This window comes from Homo sapiens, chromosome 10 (assembly GCF_000001405.40).
Source record: "Homo sapiens chromosome 10, GRCh38.p14 Primary Assembly".
Lineage (NCBI taxonomy): Eukaryota > Metazoa > Chordata > Mammalia > Primates > Hominidae > Homo > Homo sapiens.
Genome location: NC_000010.11, coordinates 108,249,695 through 108,269,909, shown reverse-complemented (window position 1 = coordinate 108,269,909; position 20,215 = coordinate 108,249,695). Strand labels below are relative to the sequence as shown.

General features: G+C 36.9%; 1 long non-coding RNA gene across 2 annotated transcripts in view; it reads right to left on the bottom strand.

Annotated features, from left to right (window-relative positions):
• The window catches only part of LOC105378476 (uncharacterized), a 43,084-nt gene extending 25,261 nt beyond the window's left edge, over positions 1 to 17,823 (bottom strand). The window contains exons 1-4 of one of the 2 annotated variants that reach the window (XR_946306.2): positions 17,618 to 17,823; positions 9,047 to 9,123; positions 8,100 to 8,175; positions 7,045 to 7,518 (exon numbers count right to left, since the gene is read on the bottom strand). This is a non-coding gene — a long non-coding RNA (uncharacterized LOC105378476). Of the gene's footprint in view, positions 1 to 7,044; positions 7,519 to 8,099; positions 8,176 to 9,046; positions 9,124 to 17,617 lie in introns of those variants that run through there. The other variant, XR_946307.3, reaches the window with a different exon arrangement.
• Positions 17,824 to 20,215: the final 2,392 nt, after the last annotated feature.

The following is a 20,215-nucleotide window of genomic DNA, read 5'->3' as shown; positions in this document are numbered from 1 at the left end:
AGTTGTAATAAACTCTCCCAGTAAAAAATAAAAAAAGCCAAGGACTTGATGTTTCACTGCTGAATTCTACCAAACATTTAAAGAAGGACTAATACCAATTCTACTCAATCTACCCCCAAAAAATGGAGGAGGAGGGAATAATTTCAAACTCATTCTATGAGGTTTGTATTACTCTGATACCAAAAAGCAGACAATGTATTAGCCCGATATAAAAAAAAAAATCAAAAAAAGAAAACTACAGGCCAATATCTCTGATGAATATTGATGCATAAATTCTCAACAAAATACCAAACCAAGCTCAACAATATATTAGAAAGATAACATTATGATAGAAGGGGATTTATCCCTGTGATGCCAGGATGGTTCAATATACACAAATCAATCAGTGTAATAAGTCATATAAATAGAATGAAAGATAAAAACCATATTATTTCAATTGATGCTGAAAAGGTATGATATAATATCCCTTCATGATAAAAACTCTTAAAAAACTGGAGATAGAAGGAACATAACTCAACATAATAAAGCCATATACGACAGACCAACAGCTAGCATCATATTGAACCAGAAAAAACTGAAGGCGTTTCCTGTAAGATCTGGAACAGAACAAGTATGCCCACTGTCACTACTGTTATTTAACATAATACTGGAAGTTGTAGCTAGAACAATCATAAGAGAAAGCTATAAAGAGCATCAAAATTGGAAAGGAAGAAGCCAAATTCTTGTTTGCATACGATATTATCTTATGTTTGAGAAAACCTAAAGACTCCACTACAAAACTATTAGAACTGATAAACAAATTCAGCACAATTGCAGGATACAAAATCAACATACAAAAAGCAGTAGCGTTTCTATACGCCAACAGAGAACAATGTGAAAAAGAAATAAAAAACTAATCTCAATTACAATCAGCACACATAAAATTAAAAAGCTGGAAATTAACCAAAGAAGTGAAAGTTCTCTATGATGAAAAATACAGAACACTGATGAGAGAGATTGAATATGACACCAAAAAATGGAAAAATATTCCATATTCTTGAATTAGAAGAATCAATATTGTTAAAATGTTCATACTACCAAAAAAAGTAAAGATTCAATGCAATCCCTATCAAAATACCAAAGACATTCTTCACAGAAATAAGGAAAATTCTAAAATTTATATGGAACCACAAACGACCCAGTATAGCCCGAGGTATTCTAACCAAAAAGAACAAAACTGAAAGAATCATATTACCTGACTTCAAATTATACTACATAGCTATAGTAATCAAAAAGCATGGCACTGGCATAAAAACAGACACATAGACCAATGGAACAGAATAGAGAAGCCAGAAATAAATCTATACACTTACACTGAACTCATTTTTCACAAGGTGCCAAGAGTATACACTGGGGAAAAGACAGTCTCTTCAATAAATTGTTCTGGGAAACTGTAAATCCATATGCAGAAGAATGAAACTGGACCCCTATTTCTCACCATACACAAAAATCAAACAAAATGGATTAAGGACTTAAATCTAAGACCTCAAACTATGAAACTCCTTCAAGAAAACATTGCAGAGCAGAAAATCTCCAGAACATTTGTCTGAACAAAGATTTATTGAGCAATACCCGACAAGCACCAAGCATGGGGAAGCAAAGCAAAAATAGGCAAATGGGATTACATCAAGTTAAAAAGCTTCTGCACAGCAGCAAAGAATACAATCAACAAGGTAAAGAGACAACCCACAGAATGGGAGAAAATATTTGCAAACTACCTATCTGACAAGGGATTAAAAATCGGAACATATATGGAGCTCCAACAACTCTATAGGAAAAAAATGAATAATCCGATCAAAATATGCCAAAAGATTTAATGGACATTTCTCAAAAGAAGGCAAACAAATGGCAAACAGGCATAGGAAACAGTGCTCAACATCACTTATCATCAGAGAAATGCAAATCAAAACTACAATGAGATAATCTCACCCAAGTTAAAATTGCTTATATCCGAAAGACAGGCAATAACAAATGCTAGTGAGGATGTGGAGGAAAGGAAACTCTTGGACACTGTTGGTGGGAATGTAAATTATTACAACCACTATAGAGAACAGTTTGGAGGTTCCTCAACAAATTAAAAATAGAGCTACCATAAGATCCAGCAATCCTACTGCTGGGTATATACCCAAAAGTAAGGAAATCAGTATATCTAAGAGGTAACTGCTCTCCCATGTTTATTGCAGCACTATTTACAATAGCTAGGATTTGGAAGCAACCTAAGTGTCTGCCAACAGATGAATGAATAAAGAAAATGTGGTACATATACACAATGGAGTACTATTCAGCCATAAGAAATAACAAAATCCAGTCAGATGCAACAACATGACTGGAACTGGAGATCATTACGTTTAAGTGAAATAAGCCAGGCACAGAAAGACAAACATCACACCTTCTCACTTATTTGTGGGATCTAAAATTGAAAACAATTGAACTCATGGACATGGAGAGTAGAAAGATGGTTACCATAGGCCGGGCTAAAGGTAGTTGGGTGTGATGGTGGGGGTGGGGTGAGGTGGGGATGGTTAATAGGTACAAAATATAGAAAGAATGAATAAGACCTAGCACAACAGGATGACTACAGTCAATAATAACTTGATGGTACATTTTAACATGACTCGAAGGGCTTTACTGGATTGTTTGTAACTCTTAAGGATAAATCCTTGAGTGGATTGATACCGCATTCTCCATGATATGCTTATTTCACATTGCATGCCTGTATCAAAACATCTCTTGAAACCCATTAATATATAAACCTACTATATTCCCACAAAAATGAAAAATATAAATAAAAATTTTTAAAATTGATTTAATTTCACTTATGTGAAATTATATGTCTGTCTGTATACACACAAGGAATTCAATGACAGCATTGCTTGTAATAGCCACATAATTAAAACAACAAAATCACATTATCCATTAACAAAGGGCTGGTTAAATGAATTATAATTAATCTCTTTGTTAGAATTTCAAGCATCTGCAAAATGAATGAGGAAGCTTTCCATGGACCCATGGACATAATGAAGGAGCTGTAATAGATATATCTAAATAAAAACTGGGAATAATAGACATGGCAGGCAAATTTTGTTTAGAAAAAGATGTAGTAACAATTTATATTTGTTTATATTTTTGTAAAAAACAACAAAAAAAGATGTCTAAGAAACAGATAAAAGTGGTTGGTTTTCTATGAAGAAGAGAGTAGAATCTAAGTGAACAAGGAAAAAACTGAGTCTGTTCTCCATACAGTTTTAAGATTTTTATATACATATTTTCACATATTTAAACCATGTAAATATATACTCAACCATTAAATATAGAAAGTTGCTCATGAGAAGACTATGTTAAGCAGAGACCTGAATGGTACATGTAGTGTGGCTCCAATTCACAATTCAACATAAAACTACAAAGGAATAACTGAAGAACATGTACATCTATGCATTTTGGGGCCTACTTAATATCATTAATCCTTTTATGTCTCTGGGAGAATATATCTAATTCCTGTTCTTTATTATCAGGCAAAATTCATTGTTCTCCTAAAGCATAATGTGCTCTTAGTAGGGCTTTGACAATGACAAACTGAGATATGCTTAATGATGTAGAGATGACTATCATCATGGACCACCCCTAATGTCCAGCTCTCCTGGCAGAAGGGATCAGAGAAGGCATCACTAGTCACCGACCAAAGCTCAATCTGTACATGCATGCAGTGTCATAGGTTTTCCCTTCACTGTGCTCTGGCAAAAGACACCGAATAAGTAGAGTAAACACTGATAATAAGCAGCAGCAGCAAAGATTAAGAAGTTGCCTCTTTAGTTTGCCTCTGTACACATGAACAGTATTTGAAGTCTCAGTTGCGTATCAGCAAAATAGGGCAATAACAAATAATTAATAATTTAAATTTAAAAATTTAAAATGCTTACACCTGGGTCTGATATACAGTGATGATGAGAAGAAGGAGGAAGAGGCAGCTAGGAAGGGATGGGGAGGAGAATCCACCTCTCATCTCCTGGTTGTGAATCTTCTGATACAGAACAATCTGAATCATGTTGATAATGAAAGCACCAGGTCACTCTCATAAATATGTTTAGTATATTGGCAGTAAAGGGAGTCAGAGGCACATGCATACATTCCATGAAAAAAATATTTTTCCTAGATTAGGTCTACATTAGACTATGAGATTATGGTTCCCTCACCTATTTACAGCTATATTTTCAATTTGACTGATGTTTATTATAGATATTTATATTAATGATCTTAATGGAGCATTGGTCCCTTATATCTGTGTCATTTTGTAATGGACATTGTCACTTCTCCCACCAGAATTGAAGTACATTTATCATACCCTAAAATCTGGACTCGTCTTGTTATTTGCTTTAATCAATACAGAATGTGGTGAAAGTGATTCTGTGTTCTGCAGCTTAGACCTTAAGGGACCTATCTATAGGGTTTCCTCTTGGCTTTTGAACCCCTGAGATCACCCTACTGCAAACAAGCCCTATTTATTTAATCTAGTGGAAGAAAAGAAGGAAAGCTGAGCTGCCCCAGCTAACAGCCAGCCCCAATAGCTAGATATAAATGTCAGGCTACTTGGACTCTCCAGTTCCAGTTAAGCCATCAGTTGACTTCATCCACAAAAGTTGGTTGGAAAAAAAAAAAAAAAAAAAACAACAGTCGTCTGGGTGCCATGGCTCACGCCTATAATCCCAGCACTTTGGGAGGTCGAGGCAGGTGGATTACCTGAGGTCAGGAGTTCGAGACCAGCCTGGCCAACATGGCGAAACCACGTCTCTACTAAAAATACAAAAATTAGCCTTATATAGTGGACATACTTGTAATCCCACTACCAGGGAGGCTGAGGCAGGAGAATCACTTGAACCCAGGAGGCAGAGGTTGCAGTGAGCCGAGATCCTGCCATTGCACTCCAGGCTGGGCAACAAGAGCAAAACTCCATCTCAAAAAAAAAAAAAAAAAAAGTCTACAACATTATGATAACTAAGAAATCATTTTTTGCTTAAGCCACTGTGCATCTTTTTAATGCAAAAATAACTGATATACTTTTATTTGTTCTTCTAAGATAATTATCCTTATTTACATTGGCATGTTCTTCAGATGTGACCAGGAATAAATATATGACATAAAAGCCTGGTTTTCCTAGCTGGCTAACATTTCTCAAGTTCTGTGCCAAACACTACATCAAGCATCTTAATATATTTCATGTATTCATAAAAACACAGAGTTGGATTGGCTTATTAACCTATTTTACAGATGAAGCAGGTAAGTCTCACTTCCATGGTCACCCAGAAAATTACTGTTAAACCTGGCATTCAGTCTTAGACTGTCCAATTCCAGAGTTCATGCTGCCTTACCACTAAATTTTGTATTGTCTCAATAGAAAGTCTCAGGGCTTAAGAACTCTGGTATTGCTGACTACACCAAAGGGAATGTTCTGAGCTGCTAGGCTTTTCCTGATTCTATAGACATAGACTTATGAACTGCTTTTGCCAGACCAAATGTTGATATTCCCTGATTTTCTAAGGACAGCATGTAAAGTAGGTAGTGCTGTAACATTTCCCAAAGTGAGCTCTGTGGGACATCTAGAATCAGAATCATAGATTTTTACCCATGTAAGAATCACATGGGTAATTATTTAAGTTGCATATTCCTTTGACTCAGGACACCAATTCAATAGATCTGGTTGAAAATCAGCTTTTTAAATAAGCATTTCAGTTGATTCTGATTTGTGTTTTAGGGTCAAAGTAAGAATTATAAACACATGTAAAATAACTCTCAAAAAATATGGTTTCTCTCTTTCTCGTTCTTTGTCCAGATAAATATGATGTAGATGATATCCACATAAACATAGGAAAGTATATAGATACAGATATAGTGAGAATATTACTCCGAGCAAGCTTAAATTATCAAAGCAAGCAACCATTTAACCATTCTTATTTATTCTTCAATTTGGTCATATTTTCCTTTGTAATTTTTCACCCAAAGCTTGCATGTTGAGATACGTTCATGTTTATCACTAGACTCCTGTACATCGAAATGAGAAGAGCAGGCACTCAGACGAGGAAACTGAAGCCTAACCAGGTTGAGTGACTTATCTACATGGCTCATAGTTGGTGTTATGACTCTTTGAGCCTACAGGTTCTTGCTTATGCCAAAGGACAGTGCCTTAAATTGTCTTAAATGAATACAGATATCTAAATACCTCCTGAGCAATTCTTCTATTCCCAGGCTGAAGGGTATCTAAAACATCAGGATTGAAGGATAGGACAATCTCATAGGCTCCTTGTGTTTTCAGAAAAATCTCCATGTCCTCAATACATCCTGTTGTCTGGTGTCACCAGCCCAACTTGATCCAGCCAAGCTTATAGTAGGCTTATGTACATTTCCTCAGCATTTCTTATGGGGTTAAAAGTTCTGAGGGCAGTTCTAATTTTCATAATGGGTGATAGTTTGGGGCCCTGCGTAGGTTGAGCTTAACTTCCTTCCTGTTGAGCACTCACAGCACTGAAACTTTGGGCCAAATGGTGAAGACCTCATTGCGTGAAGAAATCTTGGCACTCCATTAGCCCAATCATTGCTTTTATTCACGGAACAGAGATTCTAGAGAAAAATTGTGTCCTGAATAAAATGGTGTCTGTCGCTATTCAGTCAGAGCTAGAGCCAGTATGCAAGTCTTTGGAGGCACATGGTAGGGTGGAAAGAACATTAGGACAGGAGTCAGACCTGACTTTGAATTATTTGTCTGCTAGTTATTGGCTTTGTGGCCTTGGACAAGTCCTTAATGTCTCTGAATGTCAATTTAATTGTCTGTAAATGGGAAAATATATACAATGAGAAGTCATCTTTGAAAATAAAGGACAGCATTTTTGAAGCTACTAGCTTAACAGGTATAAGAAGACTGATGAATGGATGTTGTTCTCCCACTTCCAAAGCTTCTCTGGGTTTTTCTCATCAGATATATTCTGACAATGAAAATAGTCCTCTTATCTACCAAAATGCAATGTCTCTTTAGATAACGTAACCTTTTTAAGACAACAGTCTGTTGTGTAAAACTCTTGTTTAGAGTGGTGGCATCTTGTCTAAACACAGCCTTTAGTGCTGACTTTCTTTCTCTGCTGCCCCAAGGTCTGAGAAGGCTAGGAGCTAGAAGGGGATTCTGCAACCCTCTTGGAGATGAAGTTCATCCAGAGTTCAGCCTGGGCCACAGGGTCCTGTTTCTTTCTTCAGGATAAGTGTCCACTATACTAGAGATGATCCAGTCCCCATCAACAGAATTCAAAATGGATTGGATTCTATAGCAAAGAGGTTTAATCAATTGAGGAGAAAGATAATGACGATGAGGAGGAGGAAAAGGATGATGATGATGATGATGAAGAAAATGTTATAGTCATGACAATAGGCTTTGAGGCTGACTTTGAATGGTGGACTATTTTCAGGGCTTTGCAGAATGGAATACTTTTCTTTCAATCTCTAAAAGGAATGGCAGATATCTCGTGACTTTATTTCAAAAGATCTGTTAATTATATAATAAATGTCCTTAAAGTAAATAAATATTGCCTACCATTGACAGGCATTTAGGTTGATTCCATGTCTTTGCTATTGTGTATTATCCTTAGCAAACTAACAGACGAACAGAAAGCTAAATACTACATGTTCTCACTTATTAAGTGGGAGCTAAATGATGAGAACACATGGACACATAGAGGGTAACAACACACATTGGAGTCTATCAGAAGATGGAGGGTGGGAGGATAGAGAGGATCAAGAAAAATAACTAATGAGTACTAGGCTTAATACCTGGATGATGAAATAATCTGTACAACTAACCCCCATGACACAAGTTTACCTATGTAACAAACCCACACGAGTACCCCTGAACTTAAAAGTTAAAAATAAAATAAAAATAAATAAAAATTGTCTGATAATATCAAATATCAACCTCCATCTCTTTTGACTCTCTGGAGAAGTAGTTATTTGGTTATACCCTTAAAATTACGCATTTCATTGTTATTGGTTTCTAGTCTCAGTCAAGTAATAATAAAAGCATTTACCTGTTAGTTTTCTCACCACCACGCAAGGGGTAGGGCTGGAAGAAATTGCGAAGCAGATATCACCTTTTATCCAATCCTTAAACAAGATTTTAAAAATCAGGGAAGGGAGACAGCAGTGTAAGTAGCCAAAAAGTAGTAGGGGAAAGAGTGATTTGTTTTTCCTTCCTCTCAAGCCCTTAGGGTCGTATCATCTATAGCAGGTGCTTGGTCAGAGAGGGAGGCCTCCAAGTTATAGGCACAGGTTTGACATCCATCACAAAGGTAGGAATCCATACTAGTCACTTGTGCTGTTGTATATCCATGGAGGCATATTAAGCCTCATGGATACCAGAGTGTGGCCTTGATATTTTAAATCTTAGCATTAAGTGGGAGTGCTGCAGCATTAGTCCTTGCTTCAGCTGCTTGTCTTCAGTGATATACAAGTTTCATAAATTACATTAACTAGAAAAGGGATGAACTAGAGCTAATAATCACCTTCATAAATATTTCTGCTTATTTGAGATATGGATTATTTTAGGGAAAAAATATTGCTTTCAGCAACAATCCTCCCTTTTTTGATATATAGATGATAGATTAGATAGGTAGATAATAAATAGATAATAGATAGATAAACAGATGCATGTGTGCATGTGTGTTGTTGTAGGAAACTATAAGGCTCATCTGTAACAGGGACTGAAGAATCTTTGAGTTATCAGCATCACCTGAATGTAAATTTTATGTGACAGACAGCATAGATAGTGAATTCATCACACTACTCCCAGCTATCAGCACACCGCCTGATTTACAGTAGCTGCTCAGTAAATATTTATGTATAAAATCAATAAATAATTTTGTACTTTAATTATTTATTCTACTCTTGGGTCTTTATTTTGTGTAGGTTAGCTTTGTCCCTCCATCTCTAATGTAAACTCTGTGAGGACAAGAAAAATAGTAATCATAGCAGTTACCATTTATTAAGAGCTTACTCCTGGTAACAGGTCTTGTGGGAAGCACACATCACACACAAATAAAGTCCTTTTTCATTCTGGAAGACACAGAAATAGGCACAAAGAGGCTCTAAGTAACTAGCCATGGTCACTCAGCACGTTCCTAGCAGAGCATCCAAAGCCCACATTATTAACCACAATGGAACTGTGATACATCACATTTTGCACACAATGCTTAGCATGACGTTAAACCTTTGTGTAAATGAGGTTGGCAGGGATGGCTTAGTTACAAATCTGACAGAAGAGAGCCTGCTTTTTCTGCCATTTCCTTTTAGAGTATTTATCATGTCCTTGGAGGGTTGCCCTGGCTCTCCAGAACTGAATCCCATTCATGCCCTCCCTGCGCAAGAAATGGCCCATTACTGTGCTTCCACAGACCTCTATTTTCATGAAAACTTTTCTCTTAAAAAAAAAAGAAAAACAAAAATAAAAAAAAACCTTTTTCCTCTGACATTTATTAAATGACTTTGTTAAGCCAAATGACAGGCCAAACTCTACAGGCTGTCTCATAATTCCATTAATAAACCTAAAAGGTAATTTGAGTTATTAACTCCACTTTAAATATATAGGAATTGAGTCTCAGAAAGGTTAAGAAATTCAGCTAAGGTCATAGAAATATGACCCGTTTACTTCGTGTACTTATCTGAGCCAATGTCCAAATTACACATTGAAAACTGTGGATAGTATAACCATATTATACTATTGTAACCATAAATATATATATATATATATATATATGTATATGTGTGTATATATATGTGTGTGTATATACATATATAATATTTACTATTTTAAAAATTTGGGGGTTCTGTTGTATGTTTTCTTCTAATATTTTCTCTCATTTATCTTTATACCAAACTTTTAAAAAGGACAGAGCACTGAGGCTCAAAAATGTTCAGTGATACTTAGATTGTCCTGACAAGCCTGGTGCTAGGACTCAGTTTCTTGACTCCTTTCCAAGTACTTATTCCAAAACACAAAACATCAACCTTTCCAAGCAACACTATTGAATTTTAATAGGGCCCATTCCTCAAATCAGCAACTGAAGGCAGAAAATGCAGACCCCACAGTAAGATAATAAGGGAGATATCAGGGGACAGAAGAAGTTTTCTTCAAGGTTTCTTCAGGTAACAACTGAAGCTACCTATTCTGTTGTGGCTGAAGTTCTACCTCTTCTTCCACCCAAGTCATTCTGATAGTAGACTGGAGTCATATCAGACTAGGAGTTGCCGTACTGTGGGGCCCTAGACAGTTTAGAAATTGTAACTCTTCTCTTGTGGTGAAATAACATTTTGCTGCACTTTAGTTTCCTTTATCATGGGAATTTAAAACTTTTCTGTATAGAGAAATTGCTTGAAGATTTTTGCCAGATATTCCTGCTTCTTGGTGTTAATATATATTGATTTTACTTATATTCTCTTTATTATATTACACAAGAAGATGTTTAACCAATGGAAAAGACATACTTGCTTCTTTGTGTTATAGATTCCCGTGAGGAGCAGCTCTAACCATGTTAACTCCCTGCTTCAGCTGGTCGTCTTATCCTTAAGGGATCCATCCATCCTGCTTGCAGGGAACAGTCCAAGTTTTTGGAGCAGGTTATAAAGAAATTTGTAATAGTATCCTGTTTTACTTTTGGCAGTATCCTGATATACCTAACAAAATTTACAACTACCTTATATATTCTGCAGCATGTGACTGCTGTGTTCTCCCACTATGATAAGACAAAACATGTTGATTGTTTTAAGTTTATGAGAAGCACTGACTTGATGAAAAAGTGTGGTCATTTCATTATGTTTTTCTCTAGACCCCAAATAATGAGAGGTGCTACCCTTAAAACTAATTGTCTAAGGCCAGTGAGAATTGATAACAGTAGACAGAGGCTGGGGCGGAACTGTTTCTCCTTATAGATCTAAGGAAATGTGCAGTGACACTGACTAATGATAATCATTTAACCTTTATTATTCTATTTCGCTGTAACCACACTTTTTCCTACAGCTCCCCTCCATAATTATGCCTTTAATTCCCTAACACATACCAAAGCATTCTGCTGTAGATTCTATTTGCTGGAGAGGATGAGCTCTGGAATCCCTTTATGTCTATCTCTGGAAAAACTCATTTTCTTTGAACATACGCATGCATACACACAGAGATACACAAGCATATGCACATGCACACATACAGACCTTAACAAAAATTGCTTGTCACTCCTCTAATGGTCTCTGTGGCATTGGCTCCCAGAAGGAGGCTGTTGGGTTTTCTCAAATTTACAGTTTTCTTGCTAATGATATTTTCCATGAAGTTCAGAAAACAAGAAAAGACTCCTTTAGTAAACTCCTTAACTCCAAGAAGGATTCATTGCAACATGTCTTGTCTTAGTACTAAAAAAGTAGTGATTTCAGGGTAGTTTTATATCCTTTTTTTCACTTTTATTTCTCTATTTCTTCTTTATTTCCTTTTTAATGGTAGTATTTATTTTTAATAATAAATTATTCTACTAAGCGTAAGAGTAAGTACTACTATTATCTTCATTTTAGAGAACAGAAAACTAAGACAAGAAGATGTTATGTAATTTACCAACTGTGAGTTGGCTGGGATCAGCAAGACAGTTCATAGGCAGGGTGTCACATGTTGAAGTTGGAGTTAGCTAAAGACACTGATGGTATGAAAAACAAAGGTAGCTTCTTCCCTCACATGTTTGGCACCTCATTTGGAAGGGGTGGAACAATTGTTGACTAGTTGGCCATCTCTCTTTCTTCACGTAACATCTCCATGTGACCAGCTTGAGCTTCCTCAGAGCATGGCATTTTCGGAGTATTTGTACTTCCTACCTATAAGCTATATAGATAAACATTTTGAAACACCAAGACACCAGCTGAAAAATATCTTATGATTTAGGCTCGAAGTCACAAGATGCCTTTTCTGCAATATATTATTGGTCAAAAGCAAGTGATAAGCCTGGCCAAATTCCAGGTAAAGAGAATTACACAGTGCATTGGTATTGGGAGACATAGTTCCTCAATAGGTCCACATTGGGAGACTAGCTACTTTAAAAATATAGAGGGAAAGATGTCCTTGCTTTTAATAATTATTTTCTTTTGGTGTTAATTTAGGTCAGTATTTCTCCATAAACATTGTAAGTAAAAATAATGATATTTTCTCAATAGAGAACATAAAATACCTAAGGAAGAGCTTCAGCAAGAAATCGCATTATCATTAGTGGTGAGTGTTAGAAGCATTTAGCATTTTTGCAGTGTTTTGCATAATTTGAAGGTTCTAAGAGTTTTTTCAAACACTTATTTGGATCTTAAGGGACAGTGTGCATACTCCTATTTGCCACATGTATATGATTTTCTTATATCGGATTAGCAAAATCAGTGCTCATGAAAGTATGCAGTTTCCTGTTCCAGGGCTGTGTTTAGCCATGAAGCACTTGCCTTTCCTGCTGAGGACACAAGTACTAAAATCCTAGATATTCTGTTTAGTGCAGAAACCCTAGAATTAGTATCTTCTGTTACTAGAGAATGTCATTTTCCCTTGGATATTCTTTGGCTCATTGAGAGGGCTTCTATTTAGGAAGCTTCTTCCCTGGAAGGCCTTTGTTTCTGGCTATATTTTCTTCGGTTTTATTTTCATAGCTTCTCAATGCTTCTGAGCACACTTAATCTTTCTTCATCAAGCATCCAAGCTCTTTTGCCCAATACTTGACTGCTGGTTAATTTATCTAGAATAATGATAATAGAATCTACTTGATGTCGATGCTGATTTTGTGAGCAATATCTTCTGTATGGTCATGCCTGTAATGTCTACTTCCTGTTTGATTGATTAGAAATAATATTGATAATATTTCTTCAGTTCTTACCATACATCAAAATTTGGCTACATAAATATACTTGCACTATCTCATTTACTTCTTATACAATCCTATAAGGTTAGGGCTATTATTTTTCACATTTCACAGATGAGAAAACTGAAGCTTCAAGGACGAAAAAGCTTTGGCTAGAATCACAGACTTAGGCAGTCCTAAATTTGCTACTTGAAACCAGAAATTGATTCTAAGCCTTACTTCCAGCTACTATGCCCATTCCTATTCGACTAAAATCTCTTGAAACTCAAATCTGGGGAAATAATATAATTAGTGGGATTTTTATATTTAATGGACTTATTGAGAAACCTCTTCAAACTCAAATATTCTTAGTTAGAGAAACTCAAAGACAGAGAACTGGCTAATTTTTTATTTTGTTTTTCTTTATCTTTTTTTCCTTTCAATAATGATGACTAGAGCCTCCAGTTTTGTGACTTTTTGCTATTCAGCTAATAATGTTGGATTTTCTCTTCTTATTTGCATATGATAGGCTCAGATATTTTTTATTTTCATACAAATTTGTAATAAAGTATCAGTCACTGTATAGATTTCTCCTTAATGAATAGAGATATTTTGAGACTTGGGAAATTCTGCAAAATTTGGCACAATTTTTTTTTTCATTTTACACAAGCAAAAGTTTGTCACAGGACATTCCAAAATATTGTGGGTTACTCCTTCCTCTACCCCCTCATTGATGGCCACCATGGGGTCCTCTCATTTGGCAAAGTAATCCATTATAATATTTATAATGACCAACTGATAACTCATGATAGCATATTTTAGTGGTGTTTTGACTTAATAGTAAGGCTGTGTGGAGAAAGTAAAATGTTTACCTTAAATAAATGTATTTTAAGTCATAATATTTGTGTTAGGCAGAGTTCGCCAAAGACAAGAAATCAGTAGAAGATAAATTTAAATTGGCTCAGGCGATTTTGGAGGCTGAGAAGTATAGATGCAGGAGAGTCAGTGGTATAGTTCTAAGACTAGTCCAAAGGCCTGAGAAGCAGGAGAGCTGATGATGTAAATTGCAGTCTGAGTCTGTCTGAAATCAGGAGAAAACCAATATTCCCACTTGAAGAGAGTCAGGCAGAGGGAGAATTCTTCCTTACTCAGGCTCTTATTCTATTTACCTCTTCACAGGATTGAATGAAGCCTTCCCACATGAGGGAGGGTGATCTGTTTTATGTCGTCTACAGGTTTAAATGTTAATCTCTTCCAGCAATACCCTCACAGACACACTAGAAATGTTTAATCACATACCTGGCCATCCCATAGCCCAGTCCAGTTGACACATAAAATTAACTATTACAATATTTTAAGTCAAATTATCATTTATTGTGCCTTTACTTATGCCAGCACTTAATCCTCACCTTACCTTACCAAGGATGTTGATCCCTATTTCACATGAAAAATATAACAATAAAACACAAAAACACAGCCAGGGATGGTGGCTCACACCTGAAATCCCAGCACTTTGGAAGGCTGGAGAAGGAGAGGCTTGCTTGAGCCTAGGAGTTTGAGACCAACCTGAGATACACAGGGAAACCTCATCTCAACAAAAAACATTTTTTAATTAAAAATTTAAAAAACACAAAAACACTGCAGCTCAGAGGCTAGTTAGCTTGTCCTACATGATAGAGCTGGTAAAGAGAGCAAAATGACCATCTCAGCCTAACCATCCTACTCTAAGATAGAATATCTTGTTATAGGGGACAATTGGGTGATACTAAGCTAGAAGTCCACATAAGTTTGATAGAAAGTTAACCGGGATTCCCTCAGCATTAACAAAGCAATAATGTTTCCTTCCTATTTAAGGTGGTCATTTGCCTGACTATTAAGTAGAAAGGTATTTCCTGAACCTTAACTTCTGCTGAGGAAGGAAGTCTCTGTCAGTCACTAAAAGGGTCTTCAGAATCTCAGAAAGGAAGGACGCAGAGTGCCCTATATGAAGACAGAGGGGGATCCTTTTACAGAACACCTATTTAGTACCAAGTACTGTGCTAGGAACTTTCAGTCAAGTATATTTCACAAAAACCACAATCTCTTTTATTTTTATCAGAGTTGATGTGTCAATACTGTTTGCTAGAAGGATGGAAAACAATCCCTTGTTTATACAGTTCAGTTTGCTAAAATACTGTCATTCAATGAGTTTGCATGACTTTAATTGCAAAACAGAGGGTATTAGAGGAAAGCTGTGCTGGATTCGACCACATTAGAACTCTTCAGGATCACCAGATAGAAGCTGTCAACTTTGGGAACAAACATCTCTGCCTTGTTCCTTGGATGACAGTTTTTAAACCAACTCTTAGTAATTTCTAAAGGCATGCTTTGTAGCTGTCAGAATGAGTGTCCCCTTGCCCTGGAGATGTGCAATCACATAATTCTGGGTTCCTTTATTCCCACCCCAACGGAAAAGTAAGGTGGAAAAGGAGCACTGTGTGCCTGAACAGTTGGCAATGTACCCCGAGGTTTATGTCACTTTTCTGCTTTAGAAGATGGACCCCTTAAAGAGAAACAGAAACTGCAAATGTCATCCCACTCATTTCTAATTGGAATGGTGGGGACCAAACAGCTATGAGAGCTTCCAGTATAAAATGGCACATGAGGGATAATATGTCACCTTCAGTGCCACTGTGACTCAAGAGCTTCAGGCTGCCACTGTTTAAACATGTAGTCAAATTTAATATGCCTCTCCCTGACAGATTTAATGTCCATCAGGACCTGGGGAAAGAGCACCTGACAAGCCTGAAGATGAACTGTGTTCTCAGAGAAATGAGTGAGAAAAATTCAGCAGAGGAGTATTTAACAGGATGAAACACATAAATTTAATAGCAAACTGTACTCGCTATGTACATGAAATTAGGAAAGGCTTTTTAAATGCAATTTTGAATTATGTACTCTGCAATACAGATCCATCAACTGTTGTTTGTTTGTTAGCTGATCATTTGAAAGACAAGGATGGATTATATTTCCATGTCAATCTACTTCCGATTCAGTAGTTAGGATGTTATATTGTCAGGCATCACATTAAAAAATGAGTTGTAAGAGTAAGTGCAAATCATTTCTCATAATGCCCATTGAGATATAATTGGTCCTATTAACAACACTCTGAATTGAATTGATTTTTTTCTTTAACATATCTTTAACATAGTTCCCCCTCTTATTCTGACTAAACTATGAGTTTTAGAATACTTAGTAAGAAAAATATATATTAATTTCTCTTTATTATATGTGTATTTAAGTTGCAATATTGACAGAATTAAATTTGCACATAAATCATCCAACCTAAAAATTATCTGCATTGTCTAATGTTCTCCTCACAAAAATCCTATTAGTCAGTTAATAATCTTTATTTTACAGGTAATAAAATTAATTTTCAGAATTAATAAATACACATAGGGGAGCACAGCTAAAAAGTGGTCAAAATGGAATGCAAACTCACTTGAATCTGGCTGTGAAGCCTATATATTTATGTACCATAATATACTTGTTAGTGACAAAGGAAGGTTTTTATCATCCAATTCTGATTGCATTTTCTAGCAAACCACCTCCCTGTTTCTCCAGTTGTTACAAAGGTCTAAGACTCCTTTCCTCTTTTAGATTGTAAGCTTCTTATATGCAGAAACCACATATATGAGTTTTTCATAACACTAGACTAGTTGCAACATGAGTCCAGCTCTCAAATACTAGATTGTTTCCTTCTGCTTAGCTTAAGATTCACCTCCCAAAAATTTGAAACAAAAAATAATCAGAGTTGTTTTTCTAATCAACTGGCAATGATGGGAACTGTTGTCTTTATAATGAGTTTATTATGAAACAACTGCCACTGTTAGAAGCAGAATATGTGATCATACAGCCACTGGATTTTCTGGTAATTTGCATCACTTATGGTGACCTCATAAGCAAAAAAGATCCCTGTGCACTGACATCTCAACATTCCACTTACCCCACCCTGCTTCACCCCTAGAGAAAGCCTGGCATCTGACATTTACCAATACAAAAAGCCTTGCCTATTACATTGCCTCTATTAAAAGCAGACTCTACCAGAGCTCTCTATCATTACTGGCCAGCAAAACAATGGAGTACCCTTTATTCTGTCTGATTACTCCATGCTCCTTCCCAGGAAAGTGAGCTGAACAATACACAGTTCAAACTGTTCCATATACAAAATAGAGCAAATAAGAATGATTTAGGGCCACAGCTTGAATGTTCAACTCTGGTCTGTCCCATATACTCTGCATGTAGGAAAAGACCTTTCCCCAGCACCTTATCCTTGGGGTCTCTTTCTTTGCTGCTGAGCTACAAGAAAGAAGCATCTGGAACTGCAGACACAAGAACCATGGGTAGCTCTGCTGATTAAAAACAGTTGCTTGACCTTAGGCAGTTTGCTTAGCATTCTAGCCTCAATTTCTTCAGTTGCAAATGGGATTGTTAAGGCTTGCTCTATACTATCCCACAGAGGACTGAACAGATCTTATTCTTTTATAATTGTTGTTTAATACTATATCTGATCACTGAGAGTGGCTGATACTGAAAACAAATAAACAAACAAACAAAATATTCTCCCTTAGTCCACTATGATAAATCTTGAATTTTCTAGAGGATCTTTTTAAAAAAAAATCTACAAAACAAAATAACAAATGAAACCTACTGCTTTGCTCTAGTACCTTATGACATGCCATGAAATCTGGACTTCCTCTTCCCATATGTGTGCTTTTATCTGTTGGTGGTCCAGTCAGACATTTCTCACCCTGCTCCATCTCCCCCTTTACACGTAACAATCTGAAATCAAACAGAGGCTTTCAATGAGATCATAGACACCAAATATCAAAAAAATAGCTGTTGGAACTCAGGTCCTCCAGCACAGGTTCCTCAGAACCCCATTAACCTGGGGTGTTAGAAGAAGTGTTAGAGGACTAGATCACAATGGGTGAGACTATGAGCTTCTGAATTGGACAGATCTGGCCTTAAATTCTAGCACTGACAATAAATAGCCATTTGGCCTTTGGGAAATCACTTTTCCATTCTGAGACTCAGTATCTTCAACCCTAAGTCCAAAAATCATAGAGACGGTGATACTTTCCAATTCATAGGTCATAATGAAGACTAAGTGAGACATACACTTATCCCAGGGCCTTGGGCAGAAAGACCTCCAGAATTTCAGCTATTAGCATACCATCACTGCCATTATTAGGAATAATAATGTTGATCTAACATGGTTTAAATCTTTGTTCATCCAGAATACCCAGTTAGTCCCCATGCTTTAGCTAGCCCTGTAGAATTCATGCCCTGCTTTCTCCCAGGATGCTGGGATTAAGTGGAAATTTCTGTAGGCCTTTGTGAAGGCCAAGATCTACTCTGCAGAGATCTACCTTCCTCAGTTATTCAGAATGAGAGCAGTGGATTGTTAATTGAATTAGATTAGAGCATGGATCATGAAAGCCAAGTCTGCTTGTCTGCTAACTCAGGATGCCAGTAGCTGCAGACACAGCAATGTGGCTGGCTGATCTCTGGCTCCAGAAGACACATCTTGTTTTCTCAAAAAGGAGGTCATTCATAATTGATAAGAACTGAGAACATCTCCATCATATACCACCGTAATTTAATAAAATATCTTGTTAACTAAAACCCTGGGACCTGAAATAGCTATTGATTTCATCTTCATTTGGGAGCAAGCTAATTTCCTATGGCCAGGTCTGGGAGTGGAAGTGAATCACGCTGACAAAATAAGATGTACACCTAAGCACAAATGATCCTGGGCCATCTGAAGCCGGATGCCTCAATTAGTCAGAGCAGCTGGACACTGACATTGTAAGTACAACAAACTAAGAAAACAGACTCTGTAAAACCTCCGCAAAGGGGAAACTCTGCAGCCCACAAGGCCTGTGGCTCACTGCCAAAACCCACATTCTCCCATTTTCTGATAAAATTAATGTGTATCATTGTGCATTAAAAAGGAGGGGAAGTCTACTTACCTCCTTTTGGGTCTTTGTTTGAAAAAATCTCTGACAGTTCTGAGGGGAAGCAGCAGGTTAACTGAAGTGTCATTTAGCCAAGCAACCTGGGATAAGGCTTTTATGAAGGTTCCAAGGCCCTCAATGCCATCTAAGCCATGGTAGAGAACCTTCTGAGGAATACCATAGGCAGAGTTCTCCTGGATGCTCCTGATGACTTCCATTTGGAAAGTTATTTAAATAAATTATTTTTCAGCTTCCTTGAGGAGTGTATCAGATACTAGTGATGCAGGATTTTTGCTCCTTAGCTCAGCTAGGTCTGGGTTCTTGTGTCATGACCAGGAAGAATTAGGCATGCAGACATCAAAGAGTGAATGGAGTAGAATTTACTAAGTGAAAGGAAAGCTCTCAGCAAACAGAGGGAATGCAAGGGGGCTGTTCTTCTGCCTGAAGACAGGAAAGTTCCCCAATATGGCTGAGCATGGGACTTTTTATGGGTTCAGAATAGGGAGTGTGTGGTGATTGGTTTGTGAGTATGCAAAAAATGGTCAAAGCAAAGACACCATTCAAAGGTTGGCATGACAGTGTAGAAAACCAATTAGGAAAGGGTAGGTATATGTAAAATAGGCAAAGTATGGGGATCAATCAGAGGACAGCATGCCAAACAGGAAGGTGGGTTCTCAATCTGGTCTGATGATTTACCCTGGACTGTTTTCAGCTTAAAGGTTGGGTTTCACTGGGGACCTGCCCCTATCTGCCTAGGCATTTGTCTGCCTCCTGTCTCTATCATTTTCCTCTCTGAAGAGGTACATCTAAGTGCTGTTAGCATAGGGATGAAGACTGATCTTAACTGCCCCCTGCTGACAGGGGGCGCTGTTTTGCAAAAACAGCAGTCAGATAGGCAGGCCTATCTCAGGGTCCCCAGTAAAAGGTAGCCATCGTCCAATGTTCCAGTTGCATGACCATTTGGAGTTTGATGGCCCATCCCTTTTGTTTCTTCAGAGCTACAGCTGGAGATCACCGTTGGTTCACAGGAATAAGCAGGGTTAGCCTAAAATGTAGGTAAAAATTTAAAAACAACTGATAAGATTAGAATTTAATGACAAGTGTATGATAAGTTTTGAAACATAATCTTTCTTTCTCCAGTCCTCATTTTATTTCTCAAAAACAAATAATGATAGGACTAAGTTTTCTGCAAAATAAACCTTAGTCTTACAATTGGCCTGATTATTTGCATAAAGTGCAGCAAGAATAATTATTTTTCATATAGGCTTTTAAATTGGCTTTGATGGAACTCTGTAACACAAGGAA